The sequence below is a fragment of the Homo sapiens genome, chromosome 9 (genome assembly GCF_000001405.40).
Source record: "Homo sapiens chromosome 9, GRCh38.p14 Primary Assembly".
In the NCBI taxonomy this organism is placed as follows: Eukaryota; Metazoa; Chordata; class Mammalia; order Primates; family Hominidae; genus Homo; species Homo sapiens.
In genome coordinates, this window is record NC_000009.12 from 107,599,765 (window position 1) to 107,620,113 (window position 20,349).

Consider the following 20,349-nt stretch of genomic DNA (forward strand, 5'->3'; position numbering starts at 1 on the left):
GTAGCGAGGGCTAGAGAGTCCAGTGACTTCAGAAACAGAAAAAACATTAGGAGCTGCCGGGGGTGACAATGTTTCTCAGTCCCCACTGTGGCCCTTCCTGTCCTGGAATGTCTGCATGAGACCACTGAACAGCCCCACATACATTCCCCGTCCTTTAAAAATGAGCTTAAATGAGCCTTGGTTCTTGAAACCCAGGGTCTTAGCTATAACAATATTCCAAAAATGTTTTCATGGAGAGCAGGGCTTTTCTAGTTGAGTAAGAAGAAGAGAGAGGTGATAGTGGAACATTCTAAAATAACCAACGTTAGCTCTGAGAGGGTGGGAGGTTCAGTTTGGCTGGGCCTAGAGTCAGTGATGGGGCTGGTAAAATCTGGAGCCAGACTGGAAGGGCTTTGAGAAGACACCTTCGTCTTCGTAATTTATGGTGAAATTGTAGTAACAACAAGTCAGTTCTACAAGTAACACTAGTAAATCAGGATGCACAAGACAGGGCTTTGCCAGGAATGAGCCCATCCATTTCCCTTTTATTCCTGGCCTCACTTTATAGGTAGTTCTCATCAGAGGCATTTTATCTTGGCTGAACTTTTGGCAATGGCAAAGCTGAGGGAAATGCTTTTTTTTTTTTTTTTTTTAAACAAGCCTCCACCTTTTTACAGGCCCCTCTTGCCAGCACTTTCTGTTATCAGGAGCTGGGAGATTTCATAGTTCTCATTTGTCATTGAACTAGAGTGTTTTCCTGTCCTGCCTCTTCCCAGGGGTGTTGACCTTGGAAAAGTGACTCAGTCTCCTTGAATCTCATTTTCTTTACTTGTAAATGAGGGTAATTATATTTACCCAGCTGAATTCTAGGGTGGTGCTTTTCCAACTTTCTCTGGGGAACCACCAGGGATTTTTTTTTTTTAATTCATTTATTTATCTTTTTTTTTTTTTTTTTTTTTTTTTTTTTTTGAGACAGGGTCTTGCTCTGTCACCCAGGCTGGAGTACAGTGATGTGATCTTGGCTCACTGCAACCTCCACCTCCCAGGTTCAAGTGATTCTCCTCCCTCAGCCTCCCGAGTAGCTGGGACTATAGGTGCACGCCACCACACCTAGCTAATTTTTGTATTTTTAGTAGAGACGGGGTTTCACCATGTTGACCAGGCTCGTCTTGAACTGCTGACCTAAAGTGATCCACCTGCCTGGGTCTCCCAAAGTGCTGGGATTACAAGCTTGAGCCACCACACCCGGCCTATTTATTTTAATTTTTTATTTTTCAATCCGTGATGAACCAGTACAAGCATGCAGCTTGGGCCATATGCAACCTGAGTTCAACAGCACCCAAACTAGTCTAGACCCCATTCCAGAAGACAAGTCTGCTAGTCACATGCTTGAATGTTATTGCACTGTTAAAACACTAGAGAGGTTTCTAACATGTTGCTTTCAATTCTGTGTTTATTATTGTGAACTGGAAACGCGTAGTTCGCAGACTAGCATCAGTCCATGGACCAGATTCGAGCGACACTGCCTTAGTAGTCTTACGAAATCCAATCAAGGCAACTTATGGGGTAGGGCTTTGGGACTGAGGGTGTGCTTTATATGTAACTTGCATATGTGAACCGTGTTTATGGGATCATAATGTAATGCCGATCTCATGTTTCCTGAATGTTTGTAACTCTTTCTTTGTCTTCTCTGGTTATATTCTTGGGCTGACAATGTTTTCTGGTATGTCCTTTTCTCTTTGCTTGTGACTTGGCATTCTATTCTGCACTGGAACACAGTATGTCCGCATACAAAGGCTGCAGGTTTTAGAGTCAGGGTTGGAGCTAGAATTTGGGCTCTGATACTTTCTAGTGATGAGATGTTGGACAAATTGTTTGATTGTCCCTCAACTTCTGCATTAATTTAATTTAACTTAATTAATTTATTTTTTTGAGACAGGGTCTGGCTCTATCACCCAGGCTGGAGTGCAGTCATGATAACTTGGCTCACTGCAACCTCCACCTCCTGGGCTCAAGCCATCCTCCTACCTCAGCCTCCTGAGTAGCTGGGACTACAGATGTGTACCGCCACACCTGGGTAATTTAAAAATTTTTTTAGAGATGGGGTTTCACTTTGTTGCTCAGGCTGGTCTCCAACTCCTGAGCTCAAGTGATCAACCCACCTAGGCCTCCCAAAGTGCTGGGATCACAGGCTTGAGCCACTGCCCTCTTTTCTATTAACAGAGTGCTGATAATACCTAGCTGGTGGCTATTGTGAGAATTAAATGATTTAATGTGAAAAACCATGTCTTGTGTCTAGTAGGTACCCAGTAAAGCAGCTTGCTTTGCTCTTGTACTCTGATGACATTTTTGTCTGTCTTACATTCTGTGTGATTTGGAGGCTCAGGAAGTGGCACAGGCAGGCTAATAAACCATGGTGGCGGCAGCATCATAGATCGTGATGTCAGCATAGCCCCCATACTTTGCTGTTGCCCCAAGAGGAGCCAGAATCAAACACTATGGGTGAGCTAAGTGCTGAATCCCTTCTCTTTAATAGTGTCTCTACCTCAAGGGACCCCTGGAGCCCACACAGCCACAGAGTCCCAAAAGGTCCCTGCTGATGGGGCTCGGGCTATTGGGCACAGATGCTGTTCGGTGCCTGTCCTTTGCTTAGGGCATTCTTCCCAGCTGACAGAGCCCTGGTTTAGTCATGGAAGGTGTCTCTGTCTCCAGCTCAGGGGTGAATCTTGATTAGTTTAACCAGTAACTGCAATCCCATGTTCCCTTATCAGTAATGAATTTTGGGGTGGGTGTGTCTCTCAGTACGGCCTGAGACTTAAAGTCAAACTCCTAGGCTCAAGTGATCCTCCTTCCTCAGCCTCCTGAGTCGCTGGGACTACAGGCACACGGCACCACACCTGGCTGATTAAAAACAAAAAAAAAAGCCCGGGTGCGGTGGCTCACACCTGTAATCCTAGCACTTTGGGAGGCCCAGGTGGGCAGATCACGAGGTCAGGAGTTCGAGACCAGCCTGACCAACATGGCGAAACCCTGTCTCTACTAAAAATACGAAAATTAGCTGGGTATGGTGGCATGCGCCTGTAATCCCAGTTACTCAGGAGGCTGAGGCAGGAGAATCACTTGAACCCAGGAGGTGGAGATTGCAGTGAGCTGAGATTGTGCCACCGCACTCCAGGCTGGTGACAAGCTAAAACTCCATTTCAAAAAAAAAAAAAAATTAAAGCAGGGAGCTGATGGGAGGCACCTGGAAAAGGTTTCTTCTACTCTTACCACTAGAAGATTCAGGCTTTTTCTGCCTCTGGATGTTTTTCAATCCAGATGTGAGGTCTAGAACTGTGGCAGCCCTCTTGGGACCATGAGGGGAGCCAGTCTAAGAACAAAGTTGATATGTTGAGACATGGAAAAAACATGGATCCTAGATGAAGTTATTGAATCAGCTCTGAAGTCACTCCACCTCTGGCCTTTATGGTGTATAAATTGGACAAAATGAACTTGTAATCATTGTGCTAGCACTCCGTATCAAAATCCTCAAATAAAATGTGAGGAAATGGCTTTGCCGGTACTGTGCAATGCTGAAGGCAGAGTGATGTTTGAGAATTCCTGGGCATGGACTCTGCTTTCTTTCTGCAGTTGAGGAAATGGACTCATTCATGTTGTGTTTAAACATTCCCTTGAATAGAAGCCATAGATGTTAGAGTAAATTCTATTCTAGTGACATGAGCAACGAGTAAAAAAGAGCAGTGACATAGCCCTTTGAATCTCATTAGAAGCCTCACTAAGATGTGTGCTGTGATCTGCACCTGACTGACTGACGTGTTATTCTGAATTCAATAATATTCTCTACCTTTGAATAATTAAAACGGGGACTTACTATAATGGGTAAGGATGTGTAGGGGTGTGTGTGTGTGTGTGTGTGTGAGTGTGTGTGTGCCTCTTCTGTAACTCACCTGAAATCCCTGTAGTTGTTCTATTTGAGGTAATACATTTCCTAATAATTCTTCTTCTTTCTTCTTTCTTCTTTTTTGAGACAGGATCTTACTCTGTCACCCAGGCTAGAGTGCAGTGGTGCAATCATAGCTCACTGCAGCCTCAAACTCCTAGGCTCAAGTGATCCTCCCTCCTTAGCTTCCTGAGTTGCTGGGACTACAGGCACACGTCACCACACCCAGCTAATTAAAAAAATAAAAACACTTTGTGTGTGTGTGTGTGTGTTTAGAGCTGGGGTCTTGCAATGTTGCTCAGGCTGTCTCAAACTTCTATACTTTAGTGATTCCCCACCTCAGCCTCCCGAAGTGGTGGGATTGCAAGTGTGAGCCACCATGCCTGGCCTAAATTTCCTAATTCTTTAAGTCGCTTTAAGTTGAGTGGCTTATTCTTTGCTCTTGAAAACACCTTAATTGATATATGTTCCAACTGTGAGTGTTTGGCCAGTGGGTTCAGGGGTAACACTGGGGTTAGGGACACAAAAGCATATGCTTTCTAAATTTTGCTCTAAGTTTTCACAGTGAATCTGAGAGATCATGTTTGAAATAATCCAGTCCATTCTGCCCTTCATTCATTTGTTTGTTTGAACCTGTTGAGTGCTTCTCATGTGTCAACCACTGTGCCTGGCACTGGGAATGCATTGGAGAAGCGGTCTTGCCTTGGGAACATCATGATCTAATTGACAAACACTTTGGTGGCTCTGCCTGCTAAACTCTCTTACAGGATTCTCAATATCTTGGAAACCATTTATGTGTCCCTTCAAGATTTTTTTTTTTTTTTTTTTTTTTTTAGACAGAGTCTCACTCTGTTGCTTAGGCTGGAGTGCAGTGGCGCAATTGCGGCTTATTGCAACCTCTGCCTCCCGGGTTCAAGCGATTCTCCTGCCTCAGCCTCCCAAGTAACTGGGATTACAGGCACCTGCCACCACGCCCAGCTAATTTTTTGTATCTTTAGTAGAGATGGGGTTTCATCATGTTGGGCAGGCTGGTCTCGAACTCCTGACCTCAGGTGATCCACCTGCTTTGGCCTCCCAAAGTGCTGGAATTACAGGCATGAGCCACCGTGCCCGGCCCACTTCAAGATTTTTAATCCATCTGAGATGTGCCAGGGAAGGAGAGACTTGTTTCTGTTGTCATTAGAAAACCCAGGTTTGTGTGGCGCTGGTTTCAATAAATGTGTCCATCATGTTGGTCAGCAAGAACATCACGTTGGGAAGTGTAATAGCCATAGCTTTTCTTTACATGCTAAAACACAATAAATATTTACATTGGAGGCAGAAAGTAACCACATATTAAATATCTGGGTCTCAGATCATGGGTTATTGGTTTTCAAATGGGCATTTTTTTCAGCTTTATGATCCACCCTAGTGACAGTGGTGATACTTCTCTATACTTCTGTGCAGGTCCTGATGTGTATTCACTGGCTCTTGTGTCCTTATCTTATCTAAAGCATTGTAGAAGAGAACAAATACATCTAATCTTCAGGACAGTGCCTTTGCAGGTGGACAGGGATAGCATATCAAGCACTGAACACTTTGAGCCGGGGAGGCTTTGAGCTTGTGATGTCTTCAGGGAAATGAACATGTGACATGGGGGAATAAGTCTGTTTTTTTTTTAATTAATTAATTAATTAATTTTTTTTTGAGATGGAGTTTTGCTTTTGTCACCCAGGCTGGAGTGTAATGGCGCGATCTTGGATCACCACAACATCCGCCTCCCAGGTTCAACCGATTCTCCTGCCTCAGCCTCCCGAGTAGCTGGGATTACAGGCATGCACCAACACGCCCAGCTAATTATGTATTTTTAGTAGAGACGGGGTTTCTCCATGTTGGTCAGGCTGGTCTTGAGCTTCCGACCTCAGGTGATCCACCCACCTCGGCCTCCCAAAGTGCTGGAATTACAGGCGTGAGCCACCATGCCCGGCATAAGTCTGTTTTTTATACAACAAACGAATGACTAGCATCTCTGTGATAGCAGTAAGTCCCAGAACATGGGTCTTCTTCTTTTTTTTTTTTTTTTTTTTTGAGATGGAGTTTTGCTGTTGTTGCCCAGCTGGAGTGCAATGGCACGATCTCAACTCACTGCAACCTCCGCCTCCCGGGTTCAGGCGATTCTCCTGCCTCAGCCTCCCAAGTAGTTGGGATTATAGGTATGCACTACCATGCCTGGCTAATTTTTTATTTTTATTTTTTTTTAGTAGAGACAGGGTTTCACCATGTTGGTCAGGCTGGTCTTGAACTCTTGACCTCAGGTGATCTGCCCACCTCAGCCTTCCAAAGTCCTAGGATTACAGGCGTGAGCCACTGCACCCGGCCCAGTCTTCTTTTTCATCTCTCTGAAACTCGTGCTTTTGCTTCTTAGAGGAGAGCCCCACTTAGGACCTGGCCCTTTTTTCTCATCCTGCATGTTGCCCCTCAGAAAAGAATAATTGAACCAGGCACAAGAGAGAAGGGCTTTTGGTGGATGGAGGATGGCGGTTTTGGCAAAGTGTTCATTTTTCTTTTCTTCAAGCTCAGATGAGGAAACCCAGGTAGGTTGTGAGATGGTATGAAGTGTATGTATTCATCACGAGGGCCCCCACGGGGGCGGAAGGCAGGAGCTGAACTCCTCCCTGGTGTTCAGAGCTGGGGTTGATTGCATGGAGTGAGGATTCTTGGTAAGTGTAGAGTCCAGGCTCTACCCTTGATAATTGCTCCTTCTCTTCTTTGTAGCTTTTACTTGTATTGCTTCTACCACATCATAAACAGTTTATTATATTTCCATTCAATTAAACCCAGGTTTATTGAACTAGATTCAGCGATAGGTACAAGGGACATTGAAATGAATCAGACACTAGTCCTCGCGAGACTCATGAACTAGGGGGAGAGACTGACAGATTGACAGCCCAGAAAACTCAGTATCTAAGTGTCCCTATAAATAAGACACACAGGGGCTAAGAGAGCACAGAGATGGGGCTTCTCACCAGCCATGAGAGGTCATGACGACTTGGGGAACAGTTAGTTCAGTGTGACTGGAGCTGAGTGTCTGTCTTAGTTCAGGCTGCTATTAGCAAATTACTATGGACTGGGTGGCTTAGAAAACAGAGATTGATTTCTCACACTTTGGGGACTGAAAATCCAAGGTCAGGCTGCCAGCATGGTCAGGTTCTGCCACGGTTCCTCTTCCAGGTTGCAGACTACCAACTTTCTGTTGTAGCCTCTCACATGGCGAAGAGAGGGTGGGAGAGAGTTCTCTGGGTCCCCCCGATATTTTTTTGAGACAGTCTCTCTCTGACGCCCAGGCTGGAGTGCATTGGTGCTATCTCAGCTCACTGCAACCTCTGCCTCCTGGGTTCAAGCGATTCTTTGCCTCAGCTTCCCAAGTAGCTGGGACTACAGGCACACGCCACTGCCCTTGGCTAATTTTTGCAGTCACAGGGTTTTGCCATGTTGGCCAGGCTGGTCTCGAACTCCTGATCTCGTTATAATACTCCTTATAATGTAATGATGATTAGCATTATGTTTTTATTGTAATTGTCATTATGATTATTAAATTTATGCATCAAACATTTATCCTAGTTCTGAGCTGTGTACCTCTGAATCCAAGATCCCATTGTAACTTTACAACAGCTCTAGGAGGTTGGCATGATTCCTACAGCCCAAACATTCTGCAGCTTTTCATTCTGAATCTGGTCATTTTGCATAACTCCACATTGCCTGTTTATTGTAAAATCAACTTGTAAGGAAATAAAAAGCACAAGTAAAATAACCCTGGATCTATATGACTTCCACATCACCTGTTTGTTTTTACACCCTCCCTTCCTGTAGTGATCCACATGTGTTTAGATTTTGATTACAGGTATATGTTCATTTTTAAATATAGGTACAATCTGTATGATGTTATATCCTTCCTTTATCACTTAACATTATTTTCTATTCTATATTGCCATGTTTTTCCTTTTCTTTTCTTTTTCTTTCTTTTTTTTTTGAGACGGAGTTTCACTTTTGTTGCCCAGGTTGGAGTGCAATGGTGCAATCTTGGCTCACCGCAACATCTGCCTCCTGAGTTCAAGTGATTCTCCTGCCTCGGCCTCCTGAGTAGCTGGAATTACAGGCACCCACCACCATGCCCAGCTAATTTTTTGTATTTTTAGTAGAGAAGGGGTTTCACTATGTTGACCAGGCTGGTCTTGAACTCCTGACCTTGTGATCCACCCGCCTAGGCCTCCCAAAGTGCTGGGATTACAGGCATGAGCCACCACACCTGGCCTATATTGGGACATTTTTCTAATACTTTATAATTTTCTCTGGCTGTAGTAGCTACCTTGTGGATATGCCATTATTCACTCACTTAAAGACGGCTATTTTTTGAACATTTTAGATTATGGCGACTATCTATGTCTATGGTGTTTTGAAAATTTCTTCTGAGTTGACTTCTCGGAGTAAATTGTCAGGAGAGGAGTTATTAAATTAAAATGTAGTCAACATGTATTTGTTGAGCACCTGTTTGCTCCAGGCTATGCTCAGTAGCTGGAGGCACAGCTATGAATGGGACAAACATGACCCCAGTTCTCCTCAAGCTTTCATTGCTCTGGGGGAGACAGAGACCAAAGGGATAAGCAAATAAACAAACAAAATAATTATGGGCCTGGTGCAGTTGCTTACACCTGTAATCCCAGCACTTTGGGAGGCTGAGGCAAGAGGATCACTTAAGCCCAGGAGTTCAAGACCAGCCTGGGCAACATAGTGAGATCCTGTCTCTACAGAAGATTAAAAAATTAGCTGGGCATGGTGGTGAATATCTGTGGTCCCACCTACTTGGGAGGCTGAGGTGGGAGGACTGCTTGAGCCCATGAAGTCGAGGCTGCAGTGAACCATGTTCATGATACTGCACTCCAGCCTAGACAACAGAGCGAGACCCTGTCTCAAAACAAAAACAAAAATATACACAAAAACAAAAACAAAATCAAAATAATTATGCATTGTGATAGTGCTGTGAAAAGATAAACAAAGTGATGGGATAGAAAATAATGGGAGAGTCCACTTGGATAGCTTTCCTGGCAGCCACTCTGAGAAAGGGTCATTTGAGCTGAGACCCAGAGAATGAGAATGAACTGGCCATTCAGAGTGATCCGCCGAGAGAGAGTGCTCACGTGCAAAATGGGCACCTGAACATATGGAGTGGGCTTGATCTGTGAGCAGTGTACAGTATACAGACAGCCACACGTTTCAGTGTAATCACTTGCTCCAAAAATCTGGATTCTGTTTAGTGAAATTATTTAATTCTTCTCTCCTGACTCCTGTGTGGCCTCCTGATGCGTTTCTCTGTTTTCACTTTTGTCCTTCTTCAATCAATTTGCCACTCAGCAGCCAGCATAACTGTGTAAGCGTGCATCATGCATGAGCTGCAAGTTTGAGAAACCCCATAGTAACCCTGTCTCAAAATATTTAAAAAAAATAGCATTTAATGGCTTACATAGCTGAAAAGTCTGGATACATCTGGGTCCAAAGGGTCAAACTATAGCTCAGGACTTTCTCAGCTCTGCTTGCCTCTGGGAGTTACTCTTATGCATGCTGTCCCCCTGTTGTGGTAAGATGGGCACTAGCAGTTCAGTTTGCGTCTTTACCAACAGGTCTGGCTGAAGTCTTGTTTATTGGCCTGGTTGAGCGACATGCTGGGAGTGGGTTCGTGAATTGGTTGGGATGATGGAGAGGCGGGGGGAGGCAGTAATCAATTAGCCAAGCATGGATTTCTGGTACTGCAGAGGGAAGTCAATACCATCCAAATCTCATAGGATGAAAAGAAAATAGCATTCTACTGCAAGAAGAAGACGTGGAATGCTGGGCAGGCAAATGCAAGATGATCTCCATCATCATCTCCACCTCTGTCTTCATCTCCACTTACATTTACCTCTGTATCTACAGAGAGATTCTCCTCTCTCACTCATTACACTGTAGCCACACTGGCTTCCTTTCTCATCCTGGAAGCCCTGAACTCCCATCTGTCTCCAACACTTGGCACATGTTCCTTCTCTCTGCTTGGATCGCTCTTGGAATGACCCTTCAGCTCTTAGCTCAAATGACTTTTTCTCAGAAGCTTCCTTGGCTGTCTTTCCCTGGCTGTCCATTCAGGTGGGACTACTTCAATTAATTTCTTTCTTTCTAAGAAACAGGATCTTTTTATTGGCCAGGCTGGTCTTGAACTCCTGGGCTCAAATGATCCTCCCACCTCATCCTCCCGAGTAGCTGGGACTACAGGCATACACCACTGCTCATGATCCCCAATTAATTGCTATTCCATCACCTTGTCTGTCTCTTTGTTTGCCCCTTTGGTCTCTGTTTCTCTCACCAGTATGTAAGCTTGGAGAGGATAGGAACTGTGCCTGTCCTGTTCCTTGTGGTTTCTCTAGCTCCTCAGACACCTGGAACATAACAGGTGCTATGTGTAGAGTAAATCTGTATAAAGTAACGGAATGAATAGATGGACATTAGTGTCTTCAGTCTTCCTGGGTTGTGATGAAGTCACTTGCTTAAATAATATAGGTTTAGACCAGGGTCCCAAACTCAGAGACCAGGAGCCACCAGAGCTTAAGCTTTGTTCTTGTTGTTGTTGAGACAGTGTATTAGTCAGGGTTTCCTAGGGGGATAGATAGATAGATAGATAGATAGATAGATAGATAGATAGATAAATTAAGCATTAACTTACATGATCACAAGGTCCCACAATAGGTTGTCTGCAAACTTGAGGAGCACGGAGTGTAGTCCGAGTCTCAAAACTGAAGAAATTGGAGTCTGATGTTTGAGGGCAGGAAGCGTTCAGCAAGGGAGAAAGATGTAGGCTAGGAGGCTAGTCAGTCTCACGTTTTCATGTTTTTCTGCCTCCTTTAGATTTACTGGCAGCTGATTAGATTATACCCATCAGATTAAGGGTGGGTCTGCCTTCCCCAGCCCACTGACTCAAATGTTAATCTCTTTTGGCAACACCCTCACAGACACACCCAGGACCAATACTTCGCATCCTTCAATTCAATCAAATTGACACTCAGCGTTAACCATCACAGATGGAGTCTTGCTCTGTCGCCCAGGCTGGAGTACAGTGGCACGATCTCTGCTCACTGCAACAGGCACTTCCAGATTCAAGAGATTCTCCTGCCTCAGCATCCCAAGTAGCTAATTTTTTGTAATTTTAGTACAGATGGGGTTTCACCATGTTGCCCAGGCTGGTCTTGAACTCCTGGCCTCAGGCGATCTGCCCACTTCGGCCTCCCAAAGTGCTGGAATTATAGACGTGAACCACTGTGCATGGCCCAGAGCCCAAGCTTTGACTTCAGAAGTTTTAGTTCCTAGCTTTGTTTTCTTTCCTACCTTGAACAAACCAGTAGACCTTTCCTCTGCTTCAGTTTTTTTCCTAGCATTAGCACAAAGATCCTTACCTCCTGGGAGTAGGGGGAGTGGTGGGAATCAAAAGTGATGTGAGATGCGTCTGGATTTTATAATCTGAAGGGTGTTATGCTAGGGCTTGTTATTGCCAATAGATGGATGAACCGTCTGGGGGTGGGATCCCAAGCCACCCCCACTTTGTCACTCTTTCTCCTCTCCCTTCCTTGCATGTCTGGTTTCTAGCTCTCTTATATCCTTATATATTAATCAGTTTATTTGCCAAATATTCACTGAGTGGCTGCACTATCCCTGCCCCAGTGCTAGGTGCTGGGTTATGGTGGTGAACAAGTCTTGTTTGGGGAGTTGTAGGGGTGTATTTGTGTGTGCGTGTGAGTGTGTGTTTGCACCTGTACATGTGTGCAGTAGGGAGAGCAGAGACAGGAATGAAGGACCCCTCCCCAACCCCAGCAACCTGTTGGCTTTTTTTTTTTTTTTCAGGGGGGACAGAGTCTCACTCTGTTGTCTAGGCTGGAGTGCAGTGACATGATCTTGGCTAACCTCCACCTCCTGGGTTCAAGCGATTCTCATACCTCAGCCTCCGGAGTAGCTGGGGTGGCAGGCGTGTGCCGCCATGTCCTGCTAATTTTTGTATTTTTAGTAGAGATAGGGTCTTACCATGTTGCCCAGGCTCGTCTCAAGCTCCTGGCCTCAAGTGATCCATCCACCTTGGCCTCCAAAAGTGCTGGGATTACGGGCATGAGCTATCACATATGGCTAATTTTTGTATTTTTAGTAGAGACAGGGTTTTGCCATGTTGGTCAGGCTGGTCTCAAACTCCTGGCCTTATGTGGTCTGCCTGCCTTGGCCTCCCAAAGTGCTGGGATTACAGGCATGAGCCACCTTGCCTGGCCGTGAGGTCTTCTCACAGATTATTCTGCCTGTTTATTTGCAAAAAGGTGGGGACCCTTGGCTTTCAATGATAATTGTGTGTGTGAAGAACTGGCAGGTCATCAACTGTAATTTTTTTTAATTAAAAAATTAAGATGATCTTCAAAGGCACAAAATTAAAAACACCGGGAATGAAAATCACTAGGTTTCTCATTTGGTGTGGACACAACGGTTTGCTTCCTCTGATTTCTCCCCAGAGGCCCAGGGTATGGAGCAACCTCAGGCCAGCCTGCTTGGCTCTTCCTCATTTGGCCAGGGCGCTTGCTGAGTGTGAAGCCTTCTTCCAGGGCTCTTCATGTGAACAAACTGCATGCAGCCCTTGATTTCGTCACTGCCTGCAAGGGCTCAGGACCCTCCAAGCGTGCTTTTCATCTGGGAAATCTTTATTCTTTTATACTCTTCTGTCTGTCATCAGGATTTGGGCCTGATAACATAGTTTGAAACACTCCAGAGGTTTTGTCAAATGCCACTTTAGCTTTCTGGTGAAGACTCAAAGAATATATGCTGGGCTGAGGCTGGCACATTTATCCTTCTGGCCATTTTGGTAATTGGCTTTTGGGGAAGTGTGCTCCCCATGGGGGCCTCTCTGAAACCTCCATACTAAGGCGTGGATGGGAAAAACAAAAACCTTTCCAGAGCAAGCTGAAGGGTGAGAAAGAAATAACCTTTTTTTTTTTTTTTTTTTTTTTTTTAAGACAGAGTCTCGCTCAGTTGCCCAGGCTGAAGTGCAGTGGTATGATCTCGGCTCACTGCAACCTCTGCCTCCCAGGTTCAAACGATTCTCCTGCCTCAGGAGTAGCTGGGATTATAGCCATGCACCACCACCCCTGGCTAATTTTTGTAGCTTTAGTAGAGATGGGGTTTTGCCATATTGGCCAGGCTGGTCTCGAACTCCTGACCTGAGGCGATCCGCCCACCTCGGCCTCCCAGAGTGCTGGGATTACAGGCGCGAGCCACTGCTCCTGGCCAGAATAACATTTTTGTTCACCCCAGTCCTATCCTTTTCTGTCTGCTCTATTCACCCACGTACCTTTTGGTGGCCGTCATTAAAGGCAGAGGCTCTGCTTCTTTGGTTCATGAATTATTTGCAGAAAACTTGCTTTGCCTGGGTTCTAGACTCGTTCAACATTGGGCCTTTGGCTGTAATTCCTATCTTCGGTCTTTCTCTTGCTCCTGCCCCTCATATTGACCAATTTATTTAGGTTCCCCCAGCTCAGTGCTTGGAGTTCCCTCAGGATCTGCCTTGGACTCCATCCTACTGGCCTTCCATAGGGTTCTCCAATTCCGGAAGTGCTCTGCAGGCCTCAGTCTCTAGCCTGGACTTGCTTAGTGGGTTCATCCAAGACTCAGATGCTTACCATGGACCCAGCACTGACCAGACACCTGGAGGTTTGTTTGATCTGGTTGGCTCACACTGGGGGCAGCTTGTTCTTAGGATTCCTTTCCCTGAATCCCCAGAGGGCTTGATTCCCTACCCTTCACCCCCAACAGGTGTCCAGCATGCCTGTTGCCTGTGCTGAGGCAGTAAAACAATTCTTCAGTGCTATAAACTCAAGGGCTCACCTGTTGAAGGTCAGTGTGTTCAGAGGTGTTTTTACAGCCAGTAAACATAGCACCCATTTACAGTGGAGCACATTGGGTTGTAAATTATTTCACCGATAGCACTAGCCCCTTATTGACAGAGAAATGGGGGAAATTACACAACCACTCTATATGGTGAGAAAATGCAGTTCTGGTGATACCCATGGACTGCCTGTATCATTCTACTGATGAATTATTTCTTTTCTTTCCCCACCCCCAGCCTGTTATTTAACATTGGATTTTGGCTACAGACCCAAGCCACATTTGCTCAGTTTTTTTGTTTTTTTTCTCTGCTAGTACTATAGCCTTTGAAAGGCATTCATTTTGCCTAAGCTGGCTATGTGATGGGTGTTTCCTAGATGTGAGACTCTGTCATTGACAACTAGTGAACTTTGGGACTTAAAGGTATTTCAGGAATTGATGGGGACTACTCATGTGCTGTCTTCTGCTTTGGGATGACTTCTAGGAGCCCTGGCCACTGCTACCATGGGCAAAGACTGGGTGTTCCTGCCCCATGACTATGCAGAAGGAAACCCCAAATCACCTGCTAGCAAGCATATTCTGTTGCTTGGCACCTCGTTCTTCATCCCGTTTGCCCTTTAAGCTGGGCCCAGGACACTGAAAACTTGGAGAAGGACTGAAAAATTACAGATCATTGAACTGAGTGTCTGGTAGCTCCTGGGGAGTAGGGAGGCCATTGGATAGGAAGCCAGACACAGATTAGAAAACTGGAACTGCTATTGTCCAGCTAAGTTCACTTGAACACTTCACATCTCCCTGGGCCTCAGTTTCTTCATCTGTAAAATGGGCCTAACAGGGTCTACCTTGTAAGGGAAAGGTAAAATGAAAATGCCTGCAAAAGAGCATGGCATGTCGTATCACAGACCACACAGGTTCTAAGCAAGCTGTCCAGGGCCACTCAGCAGTTCCTCCTCCTCTCCTCATCCTGAGAAGGACTGATGGGACTGAAGAAGACCCTGGACACTCTCTCAGGGTCCCAGTGCTTGTGAGGCTGGGCATGGTGTGACATGCCCTGGAGCGTGGGGCACTCACACATTGTGAATGGGCACCTGGCCGGCCAGCCTGCCACACTGTCCTTCAAGAGCCCTGTCACAAATCTCCGCTGATCGTTCTCTGTTAGAGCTCTGCTTTACCCATGGTTTGGGTTGAATTGACCTGGGGGTTCAGGGCAAAGCCAGGCAGAGAGGAATGGAGAGCCACTGGGCCACCGAGTGCACAGGTGCTGGCCCTTCCAACTCAATCGGTCTCACAACCCTGGCGGAAGGCGCCAGAGGCTTGTAAAAGACCAGGATGTTTCTACAGGTGTTTGCAGTAAAGGGCTTTCCCTACTCCCAGACTTCAGTTCAAGACTGGTTTGGGTCTGGGAGTTTCTCACTTTCCCTAATTCCTGAACAAACAAAACAAATCCATTTTGAGCTTCTGGCTGGATTCCCTCCCCACACAGAGGAAGAGAGAAACTATGATCCACAAGCACCTGCCATATCATCCGTGAGATAGCACACTGATCCTGACAGCAGCCCCCACCCCCAGGCTGGAGTGAATAACCCCCACGCAGAGGGAACGAAGGCCCATGGAAGTGGAGGTCATGCAGTCAGGAGGTGGAAGGTGGTATCTGAACCGAGGACTTGAGCCCCCAAACCCTACACAACTTTACTGCTTCTGAGGCTATGAAGGAGAAAGATTGAAGCAGGGCCTGAGAAAAAGGCCAAGTGGATTAGTGAGGAGGCTGGGGAGAGGAGGAAAAGGGAAATATATAAATAAATGCACACAGTTATTGCCTCATCAAGGCAAATGAAGTTTGCTCATGTGGTGGGAAATTGTGAAACTTGGCTATGAAAGCTTTATGTTAGATAGATTGTGAGGCCCACATGATGAGAGTTCTCCCAGCACACCCTTTTCTCTCCAGCCTCTAATCAGAGATCCGGTTGCTGGTTCATGCTTTTCTACCCAGCTTGATCAGATTTATTGAAACAGCCATTTTTCTTACTCAACCACCTCTTCTTGGAAGTTCTGCAAACTTACAGAAGCCATCCAACCACAGGAGGCAAGGGGCAAAGTGACACACTCTGTAATTTTAGTGCCTCCTTCAGAGCCTCTTTGTTGGAGGAGTTATTGCCATCTCCATTGCTCAAATGAGGATGCAAGTGCAGAGAGTTTATGATATTTGTCCAAGGTCAAACAGCTGACAGTGATGAAGCCAGACTTGGAGCTCAGCTCTGCCAGATTCTGGAATGCATCTCTTTCCATAGTCCTTGTCTGAGGCCTGCTTAAAATATGGCATTCCCATGTATTCTCCAATTCAATTGTCATAATAACCTTAGAAATTCAGGTATTGTTGTTAGTGCCTCCATTTCACAGAGAGAAATTTCATCAAGGAGGTTAAATGCTTTGACTGAGACCTCACAACTTTTGAGTGCATGGTAGAACTTGCACCTGAATTTCATAGACTTGAACTTCCGATATTTTTTATTATACTATATTTAAAGAGCATAATCCTTCATCTTTCCATCTGCCCATCCATCCATCCATCCATCCTTCCATCCATCCATCCATCCATCCATCCATCCATCCATCCATCCATCCATCCATCTTTCCTTCCATCCATCCACCCATCAGGCCATTCACTCATTCACCCACCTATCCATCCATCCACATCCATCCATCCACCCACCCACCCACCAACCCAATCATCTTTTCAGTGCCTACTTTGTAGCAGGTCCTATACTAGGTCTAGGTAGAGTAATATGGTCATGAAAACTTTCATTTGTCTCCAGAAGCCTGTAGCCTTTAAAAGAACAGATATCCAATTACATGATATAATGCTGAAATAAGTGTGGCAGTAGAAATATGTAGATTGAGGGAGACTAGGTCTGCCCAGTTGGTTGGGAGAGGTGGTGATACTCTGCCCCTGCTTGTTGAGTACTTTGTTTTGAAAAGCATGTTTTGCATGTATTTTTCAAAATCTCCTAATTGAATGAGGCACCTGCCTCTGTGGCATCCTTGTGGGCAGTGGTTGAGCAGGAAGTCATCCTCCATGCGAATTAGGTTAATTTGGTGAAAATGAAATGAATAGCTCTGTAATCTGGGGTGATGGAAATCCCAGGGGGCACAAAGCTAAACTTGTGGCAGAAGCTGCTAATTGAATTGTGACCTTGGGTTCTAGCTGGTTACATAAACCATCTTCAGGTGAGAACTAACCGGAGCTTACCCAGCTGGCAGGGGCTGGGCTGCCTCTTCTCATTAGGATCCTGACTGCATTTCTGTAACTGCCCAGACTTGTTGAAAGGGCTTCTTTTCTTTTCTGGAGTTCGCATGTCCTAGGAGGTCCTAGGAGGACTCTGGATGGACTTCAGTGACCTGTGAATCCCTTAAATTAGAAGCAAAATTCATGTACGTGTATATGTTCCCGGAAAGAAGGGCTATAGCTTTAATCAGTTTCTCAAGATAGTCCCTGAGTGAAATAATGTAAATAACTAGTGACGTGGTTTCTTGTTCCCACTCAAGTAGAGTTTTGATTCAGTAAGTCAGGAGTGAGACCCAGGGCTCTTGATTTTATCTTTAGATTTCCAGGCGATTCTAACACTCAGTCAGTCTTGGGAACCACTGATTGAATTAGAACTCTGCTCAAACTTTAATGAGCCTACGAAGCCCGTGGGGAACTTGTTAACATACAGATTCTGATTTGGTGGGACTGAGATGGGGCTGAAGATTCTGTGTTTCTAACCAGCTCCCAGGTGATTCTGCTGGTGGGTGAACCACACTTTGAGTAGTAAGAACCTAAAGGCATGTTTGTACTTGGGTCAGTCATAGGACATTGGTTAGATTCAAGACACATCTAATTCCTTTGTTTGGGATTGAGATTAAGCACTCAAGCCACTTCCATTTGAGGAACACTATTAGAGGGAAGTTAAGAGATTTAGGGATTGTTGAGTACTTCATGGCCAAGAGTTCTATTTCCAGTCACAGTATGGGTTGTGTAAAGAATGAGTATGAGGTTAGACAGATTCAGGTGTCAATACTGGCCCCAATATTGATCACTTATGTGTATTATTTGGAATGACATCAGCTATAATAACAGAAAGGTTGACTAACAGTGGCTTAAACCAATAGTGGCTTATTTTTCATACATAACAATAAGTTATTCAGTAGTGTTGGAATCCTTGGGTCAACTGCCAATAACTGAGGACCAGGGCTATTTTGTTCTTCTGCTCCATGTCTCTAGTATGTGGCTCTTGTGGGAGAAAAGCACACTGTCAGCATCTTAGGCAGGAAGAAGGATATATTCATTGGAGTAATGTTGCCTAGCCATCCCTAACTGCAAGGAATGTTGGAAAAGAATTATGAACATTTCCAACTTCTATTCTGGAAAGCAGCAAGAGAGATTTGAGAAATGCTGTTAGGTCAGCTCATAATACTATCTTCTACATCATATGATTGTAGGCAATTTGCTGAATCTTTCTGAGCCTCAGTTTTTTCATTTGTAAAATGAGAGAATAGTTCCTTCTAGCAGTAGTTCTCAAAGTGTGGTGTGTGGTTCCCAGACCAGCAGTAACAGCATCACCTGGAAGCCTGAGTACCACCCCATACCTACTAAATCAGAAGCTCTGAGGGTGGAGTCCAGCAATCTGTGTTTCAACAAGCCTTCTAAGTGATTCTGATGTGCACTCAAGTTTGAGAAACACTACCTTAAGGATTGTTGGGAAGACTAAGATGATTGCTTAAGGCGTTCAACATTCAGAGAGTGCTCATAACACATAGCCTGGGAGTCCATATCTTAGACTAAAACAGTGTTGGAGTCTTTTTTTTTTTTTTTTTTTTTTTTTTTTTTGAGATGGAGTCTCTCTCTGTTACTCGGGCTGGAATGCAGTAGTGCGATCTTAGCTCACTGCAGCCTCTGCCTCCCGGGTTCAAGCAATTCTCCTGCCTCAGCCTCCTGAGTAGCTGGGATTACAGGTGTGTGCCACCACGCCCAGCTAATTTTTGTATTTTTAGTAGAGACGGGGTTTCACCATGTTGGTCAGGCTGGTCTTGAACTCCTGACCTTGTGGTCGCCCGCCTTGGCCTCCCAAAGTGCTGGGATTACAGGCGTGAGCCACTGCGCCCAGCTAGAGTCCTTTTTTTTTTGAGACGGAGTCTCACTTTGTCACGCAGGCTGGAATGCAGTGACGATCCTCCTGACTCAGCCCCCCAAGAATCTGGGACTACAGACACACTTCACCACACCCAGATAATTTTTGTACTTTTAGTAGAGTCAGGGTTTCACCATGTTGCCCATGCTGGTCTTGAACGTTGGAGTCCATTTTCTGAGTGCTGACTTGGAATAAGAAGTTTAGAAAATATTCAATAAAGAATTTCCAAGGTTTGTTCTGACTAATATCCAATCCTCCAATCCCTAGGATCCTTTGGAGAGCTGCTCACTGCAGCCTCGACCTCCACCTGGGCTCAAGTGATCTTCCTGCCTCAGCCTTCTGAGGAGCTAGGACTACAGGCATGTGCCACCATGCCCGGCTAATTACAATTTTTTTTTTTTTTTTGTAGATACAGGGTTCTCACTAAGTTGCCTAGGCTGATCTTAAACCCCTGAGCTCGAGCAATCCTCTAGCATTGGCCTCCTAAAGTGTTGGGATTATAGGCATGGTTCACCACACCTGGCTTTCTTTCATTATTGAGGCAGTCAGCATTCAGTTTCAGAAACGATCTCTATCTCAGTATAATGGGAGAAGAGTGTGTAGACAGACTATTGCTCTGCAGGGGCCAGGGGCCTTAAGGTAACACATACACAGACCAGTGGGGTTCCAAGCAGGGTGGAAACCCCTCTGTTGGGGCAACCAAGGAGGCTTTTGCTGCATGGAAGCTTGAGTACTGAGCCGTTCAGGTGGAGCTCCTGCTAGCAAATTCCCTCCTGGATCCTTGGAATCCAGGCCAGATAGAATGATGATGATGGTTAAATGTATGAATCACTGAGTCTGGCCAGGTCCTGCTTAAGTGCTAACTTATTTCATCTCATAGAATCTTCACATCAAACCTAGGAGAAAGGTACTATTATCATCTCTAAGTTACAAAAATGGGAACTGAGCCACCAAATGGCTAAGTGGTTTGCCTAAGAACACAGCGCTGGGCAGACAGAGGAACCAGGGGACTTAGGCCTTGCCAAGGAGGTGACAGTTGGACTGGCCTGGAGGGACTGGCCTGGAAAGAACAGCTACAGTATGGCCACAGGTGAGCCTGAGCGGGTAGACGATGCTCACCTTTCCCTGTGGCCAAGCACTGGCTGTGGGCAGGTGGGGAGGAGTAGGTGGGAGATGCCTGTCCCAGCGAGGACAGGCCAGTCCTAAAAGGGGCTTGTGTGTCCTGAGCCAAGAAGCTTGACTTTTGCCTTCTAAAACAGACATTGACTCAGTCAGGAGAGCTTGAGAAATCTCTCTCCAGGAGGCTGTGGGAGGTAGATTTTCCTTGATTGGCCTGGTCTCCCTTCTGCC

At 45.5% G+C, this 20,349-nt stretch overlaps 1 long non-coding RNA gene across 7 annotated transcripts in view; it reads left to right on the plus strand.

The window, feature by feature from the left end:
• LOC105376205 (uncharacterized) overlaps window positions 1–20,349 on the plus strand; it is a 98,539-nt gene that overhangs the window by 32,976 nt on the left and 45,214 nt on the right. For all 7 annotated transcript variants that reach the window (XR_930217.2, XR_930218.2, XR_930216.2 and 4 more), the window contains one exon: window positions 19,880–20,089. This is a non-coding gene — a long non-coding RNA (uncharacterized LOC105376205). The remainder of the gene's footprint in view (window positions 1–19,879; window positions 20,090–20,349) is intronic.